This window comes from Homo sapiens, chromosome 16 (assembly GCF_000001405.40).
Source record: "Homo sapiens chromosome 16, GRCh38.p14 Primary Assembly".
NCBI classification, from domain to species: domain Eukaryota; kingdom Metazoa; phylum Chordata; class Mammalia; order Primates; family Hominidae; genus Homo; species Homo sapiens.
This window is the reverse complement of record NC_000016.10, coordinates 89568731-89575496: the sequence shown is the minus strand read 5'-3', so window position 1 is coordinate 89575496 and position 6766 is coordinate 89568731. Positions and strand designations below refer to the sequence as shown.

At 62.2% G+C, this 6766-nt stretch overlaps 3 annotated features.

The window, feature by feature from the left end:
• Positions 276 to 345: a silencer, noted in NCBI's record as "silent region_7916". NCBI's record gives its function as "represses an Ori minimal core promoter by ATAC-STARR-seq in GM12878 lymphoblastoid cells {active_cell/tissue: GM12878}" and the evidence as "EXISTENCE:reporter gene assay evidence [ECO:0000049][PMID:35858748]".
• Positions 586 to 815: a silencer, noted in NCBI's record as "silent region_7915". NCBI's record gives its function as "represses an Ori minimal core promoter by ATAC-STARR-seq in GM12878 lymphoblastoid cells {active_cell/tissue: GM12878}" and the evidence as "EXISTENCE:reporter gene assay evidence [ECO:0000049][PMID:35858748]".
• Positions 1276 to 1533: a silencer, noted in NCBI's record as "fragment chr16:89640372-89640629 (GRCh37/hg19 assembly coordinates)". NCBI's record gives its function as "represses an EF-1alpha promoter that drives an FKBP-Casp9 reporter gene in an ReSE screen in HepG2 liver carcinoma cells {active_cell/tissue: HepG2}" and the evidence as "EXISTENCE:reporter gene assay evidence [ECO:0000049][PMID:32094911]".

Genomic DNA, 6766 nt, shown 5'->3' with positions numbered 1-6766 from the left:
GGGCCTGAGCCCGGGTTCGGACCCAGGCAGACACTAGGGGAGGCAAAAGGGGGACCCCAGCTTGGCACCAGATCCCCGCGCCCTTCCCGGATCTCTAGGATCCCATTTCCAGGCTCCGCTGGTTTCGGGTACTCGCCACCTCCATCAACAAGCATTTAGTGGGCGCCTGTTGTGTGCAGGCGCCGCGCTCGTCTGGGGCTGGAAGGACCGTCCCGGGGGGCCGAGGGCTGAATCGCGGTCTGATTCCGAGGGGTCCGCGGGGCACGGTCCACACCAGTCCCCCGAGGCCGGGGCGGGGCGGGGCAGGCCTGGGTTCCGTGGGGGGTGGGCCCGCTCCGCCCTGAACTCACTCCCCCACCTTCCCCATCACCGGTCCCGGGGGAGGGAGCAGCGGAAGAGGAGGCGTCGGCGGGGACAGAAACCACCTCGCAGTCCACTCTTTTTGCCGATTTCTGCCTAAAAATAGGGCACGGACCTCGCCAAAAGCCACGGGGGTGGGGGGCGAGGGTGAGGGAGACATTAAGACTGAAGAGGCGGGAAGACCGGGCGCCTCCGCTCAGCCTCGGCGATCAGGACTCTAGAAGAAGACCCTGCGGTCAGAGGGGACCGCCGCCGACAGGGCGAGGAGGCTCAGGGCCCCGCCGGCGGGAGGCAGCACAGGCAGCCTCGGCCTGGGAGGAGGAACGCGGCCAGCGGCGTCCCCTCGCGGTCGGACGGCGGGATGGCGCCGGGCGCGGCTGCAGGGCGGGGAGGCCCCACGGGGCTGGCAGGGCCGGGAGAGGCCATGGAGACCGGCTCCTGCCTTCCCGGGAGGTTGGCTAAAGAGGCGAGGAACAGGTCAGGGCGCAGCGAGGCCTGCAGGGCCCCATCTGCTGTCTCCCCGGCCTCTGCGCCTCCTCCCTGAAGCCCGCAGTGGGCAGAGGCCAGTCCCGCTCTCTAGGGACCAGTCTGGGCCTTCCCGGCCCTGTGTCCTCCTCAGCCCAGCCTTCCAGGCTGCCGGGAGGCCACATCCTCGGTCCCCAACCACTTCCATGGGAAAAGGATGCGAAATTCAGGCAAAGGGTGCGGGCGCCCAGGCAGCTCCTGCAGGCCGTGCCTCCCGCTCGGTTCCAGCAGCCCTGGGACAGTTTTCCCCAGACCAAGCTCCGCTTCCTGCCTTGACCTCACCCGAAAGCTCCTCACCACCGCCCTGAGGTTTGCTCGTCTGCAGTGTGGCGTGAGGCCTGAGGTCCACCAGGCTGTCTGAGGGGTACCCGGCTTAAACCTGGAACACCCCAGTTCAGCCCTTGGCTGTCACATAGCGGCACCCTGGCAAAATAACAGATGGCTTCCAAGCAAAGGACGCAGGGAGCCAAGAAAGATCACAGAGTTTGGGAATTTGAGTCTCTGAAGCCCAGGGCGATTTGGGATCTCCAGCCACAGCCCTCGGCCGGCTTGCTGTCTCCTGACTGACAGCCCTGACTGCAGCCTGCTCTAATGGAGAGAAACCACAGAAGGAAAAGCCGATTCCCCTGTGGCACTGGTGTCTGGACGCTGCCTGCCCCTGCTCAGGGATCAGCCCGCAGTAGGCCCAGGTACAATGGAAGGACCCCGCAGGCCATGTGGAGCCATCTTTCCAAGGCTCCCCCTCCCAGCTTTCCCTGCAGGGCCAGACACAGGAAATGAGATCCACACACATACACGCAGGAATAATAACCGTGTTCCTTGTTGAAATATTAGACAATGCAGATAGGGAGTAAAAACAAATTTCCAGACCCCAAAGCAGCCCATCACCTCCCCACATCTAACCCTCCAGGTTTTTTTTTTTATGTGCAAATTTCTTTTAATTGTCAAAAAAAAAAAAAAGGTGCCTAACTCTCAGAGCCCTTCCCACACTTGAGAGGACTCTTCAGTATCTGCACGCCAGGCTCATCACGCGGGCCAGGCCCGGGACCCCACGCCAGGCTCATCACGCGGCCCAGGCCCGGGACCCTGCCTGGCACGGTTGGAGCACCATAGGTGTTGGTGCAGATGGTTTCTGTTCTGTAACCTGCTTTTTTCTTTCTTATTGACAATATTGCATTCAATGGTTAGCCTGGATCCCCTCATCACTGGGTTACCTATGAGACCCTCTGATTAGTGCCGACCCCCACGGCTATCCAGAGGCTTACACATGATCAATTTTAGGAGCAGCAATGACATATCTGTGCCCAAGTGCCCTGTGTGGCTTCCTGGCATCCAGGACTCAGATACTTTTCAGGCCCAAGTGCCTCTGCCTCAGCCTCTCCCACCACCCGACCCCTACCTACCCTGCAAAGCCCAGCCCAGTCTGAACCGCCACCCAACATCCCTCCCTGGGCTCCCGGCCCACACGTCCACAACATCAGTTCCACTGTCCAGGGCTGTGCTGCCCATGACCTCATCCACCCTGGACCAGGAGTCCACCGAGGCCTGAGTTAACACCAGTACAGGTCCCAACACAGAGTCTAAGACAACAAACTCCAGGCGGATGAATGAAGTGCGGATCAGCGAATGAAACGCAGCTCTGGTGGCTGCTCTCTGGTCCTGGATCTGCCTCGAGGGTGTCATCTCCATCAGTCACAGAGTCCCCATCTCCCATTTCAGTAACACTGGCCACGAGGCCAACCGGGAGCAGGGAAACCTGTCCAGGGCCTCCAGAGGTTCCCGGCAGACCCCAGGCCCACTGCTACTGCCTTGAGGCACATCCCCTGGAGCCAGTGCTCTCCCCCACACTCTGACAGCCCTTTGTCCCTGAGCCAGGTCCAGAGTCCATGGCCTCCTCCCTGGCCGTCCTGAGCACACAGCTGGTGTGCTCCAGTGGACCGGTCCGGGGCTCGGTCCCCACCCCTGAATGCAGGGTCCTCGAACCTGCCCTTCATGTGGAGAGATTGTCCCAGAAGTTGCCTCAAAACAAGAAATTGCAGAGGGTGGGGGTTACTAACAGGATTGTTTAACAGGAAACAGCTCTCCACGTGTCCGGATGGGTGCTGCTTTTTTTAATCTGGTTGCAAACCTACCCTCTTCTTTTCTTTCCTCCTAAAGAAAGGTTATTTTATCTTAGAACATCTGCAACCTGTCTGGATCAGATTGTCTTCCTGCAGGATCTGATGCTGATCTTATTTGAGAAATCAACCATGCCCAGAGGCGGCCACGCCGGCTGTTGGCTGAGACAACACACCTGGCCAGTCTCAGTTCCTCGCTGACCTTGTTACAGCCTCAGAGACCTGGGGACTGATTAGGGGGACTTTCTCCTCCACCACACTCAGCACATGCAGGCACGCACGAGCACACGCCACACACGTGTGCCAAATACCGCAGACACGTGCACGTACTCATGGAGAGACAGCCCACACGCAGACACGCCAGGCACCCAAGACACACAAGCGCAGACACAGGCCACCCCAGGGCAACATATGTTCCAACCAGGGGGTCCCCTTCCTCCACTTCCTTCCCCCAACACCGTCTTCTGGGTGTGGATGAGACCCCCTTCTTCGAGACTCCCTTCTCCTCCAGGCGCGTTCTCGCGTGCAGCCCCGGGCCGCCATCCCTCCTGCCCCTTGTCTGCATGCAGCCAGGAGCAGACCATCCCAGCCCCCAGCATCTCTGCCCAGCAGGAGACACCACTGCTGGCGGGAGACATGGCTCAGAGAGGGCGTTGTGGTGGCTGAGACCACACAGCAGGGGTGGAGCTGGAACCCAGAACCCAGCTCAGAAGCCAGCGCTCACACCTTCCTCGGCCCGTCCAGGCCCTGGGGTGGAACTGGAACCCCGCTCAGAACCCAGCCCTCACGCCTTCCTTCGCCCGTCCAGCCCCCGGCGTGGCTTGATGGCTTTGCTGCCCTTGCCCAGAATGTTCCCAGCAGACCCTCAGGAGCACTTACTGTGGAGGGGCCCAGACTTCACAGCCCCTGTGCAGTGAGACCCAGGGGTCAGGGTCCCTGCCCAGGACTGCACGCTGGGGACACCGTCCGGGACTGGCTCTTCCTCACCCCCTTTGGCCCTCCTGAGCCAGGACCCCTCTGTGCTCAGACTCAGGCACCAGCCATCCCAGAGTCCCCAGGACTTGGGCTCCTGGTCCCACTGTCCCCACTCCTGGGTCCTCTCTTCTTTCTGACTGCCAAGCCTGCTGACCAGCAGTGGCCCTGGGCCCCTGGACCACCTCCCCGGCCCCCGGACCGCCTGTACCCACTCACCTCCTCCCGTCCCCGCTCACCTCCTCCCGTCCCCGCTCACCTCCTCCCGTGCCCCGCTCACCTCCTCCCGTGCCCCGCTCACCTCCTCCCGTGCCCGCTCACCTGCTCCCGTGCCCCGCTCACCTCCTCCCGTGCCCCGCTCACCTCCTCCCGTGCCCCTCACCTCCTCCCGTGCCCGCTCACCTCCTCCCGTCCCCGCTCACCTCCTCCCGTCCCCGCTCACCTCCTCCCGTGCCCCGCTCACCTCCTCCCGTGCCCCGCTCACCTCCTCCCGTCCCCGCTCACCTCCTCCCGTGCCCCGCTCACCTCCTCCCGTGCCCCGCTCACCTCCTCCCGTCCCCGCTCACCTCCTCCCGTCCCCGCTCACCTCCTCCCGTCCCCGCTCACCTCCTCCCGTGCCCCGCTCACCTCCTCCCGTGCCTGCTCACCTCCTCCCGTCCCCGCTCACCTGCTCCCGTGCCCCGCTCACCTCTTCCCGTGCCCCGCTCACCTCCTCCCGTGCCCGCTCACCTCCTCCCGTGCCTGCTCACCTGCTCCCGTCCCCGCTCACCTCCTCCCGTGCCCGCTCACCTCCTCCAATCCCCGCTCACCTCCTCCTGTGCCCAGGGACCACCTCCCCAGCCCGCAGACCACCTGTGCCCACTTGCCTCCTCCCAGGCTGCCCTTTTGCAGACTTGCCCGACCTCCCCACCACGCTAACCCTCTGGACCTCACTTCCTTCCAGTGTCCTGTCGACTACCCAGAACCAACTCCTATAATCCTGAGGTGCTGCTGGGAGGCCTGACACTGGGTGGCTGCTGTCCACGAGGTCCGTGCACTCGGATGAGCAGCTGAAGCCCAAGCTGAGCAGGGCCTCGGAAACCCACGGGCCTGTGAGTGCCACCTGCTCATGACAAGCAGGCTGTGCCCTGGGCGAAGGCCCCCGGCTAATGGTGCCACTGCTGCTGGGGGCTCTGTACCCGACTGGGGGGCCAACCCCTCAGACAGCAGCTGTGGGGTCACTGGCTTCTAAGCCTGTGTCGCCACCGCCCTGCTCCACTGAGGCTCTTCTGAGACCAGCTCTCTCTACCCCAGTGCCACCCCTCTGCTTGGCGCTGGCGCCTCTGTGGCCACACGCCTTCCTGGTGCCCACCTGTCCCCTCAGCCAGTGTGCTCCAAGGTCAAAGGAGGCTTCTGGGAGAGCACAGTGTTGCGTCCAGCCCGTGCTTGAGGGAGGGGCTCGCACAAGGGTGAGCGTCAGGAGATGGGCACCAGATGGGTGGCTACTGACCACAGGGCCAGGGCAGGAGCAGAGAGGCCCGGAGGAGACTCTGGTCCTGTGGGAGGTGATGGCCGGCAGGAGCTGTGTCCCCGGGGCCGGTGTCCTCAGGCCATCCCAACTGATGGACGTCCTGGTTTTAGTCTTGCTTGAGTCATCGGAGGCTTTTGATGCTATTCTTGGTAAAAAGCCGGCCTGGAAGGCTGCTCGGACACTTCCCTCCGCTCTCTGGTCCCTTTCATCAATAGCCTAGTTCTTCTCCCTCCTCCCCGGGAGGCACCACCCTTTCTGGGGAGTTACTCAGAAGGGCAGGTGCTGCCAGGGACCGTGCCACATCAGACTGTCCCCCAGCACCATGCCTTGGTGGTACCGCTGCAGATGGGGAGCCTGAGGGTAATACAATGGGGAGGCTGGACAATGGCCGGGCCAAGTCTGACACACCCTCTACTGCCCTGCCCCTCTCACCAGTGCAGGAGGCCCCTGAGACTGGCTGTGACATCCAGCCGCCCAGGAAGGGGGTCTGGAGAAGGCCATGGGATGCCAACCCCCTCTCTCCCTGGGCCACCTCCAGAGAAGGCACCCAGACCCTCCACCACCACAGCCCTCCCCCTGCCCACTCTGATGCTGTGGGAAAGGGAGGAGCTCCCGGGGTCCCTTCTGGCACCAGGCTCTGCCAGTGTCTCGTCTTCTCCACAGGTCCCCTAGCCGCAGCCCATGAGGCACCTGCCCAGGTACAGGTAAGAGGCCAGACCGTGTCAGGAATGGAAACGTGGGGAAGGTCAAGGGAAGAGATGCTTGATTATTTTTAGACAGTCTCGCTGTGTCGCCCAGCCTGGTGTGCAGCGGCGTGATCTCAGCTCACTGCAACCTCTGCCTTAGTTCAAGCGATTCTCCTGCCTTAGCCTCCTGAGTAGCTGGGACTACAGGCGCCCGCCACCACACCTAATTTTTTTTTTTTTTTTGAGAGTCTCCCTCTGTTGCCCAGCCTGGAGTGCAATGGTACAATCTCTGCTCACTGCAACCTCCGCCTCCCGGGTTCAAGCGAATCTCCTGCCTCAGCCTCCTGATTAGCTAGGACTACACGCGTGTGCCACCACACCCAGCTAATTTTCGTATTTTTAGTAGAGACAGGTTTCATTGTATTGGCCAGGCTGGTCTCCATCTCTTGACCTTGTGATCGGCCCGCCTTGGCCTCCCAAAGTGCTGGGATTACAGGCATGAGCCACCGCACCCAGCCAACTTTTAAAATTTTTGTAGAGACAGGATTTCACTATGTTGCCCAGGCTGGTCTTGAATTCCTGGGCTCAAGTGATCC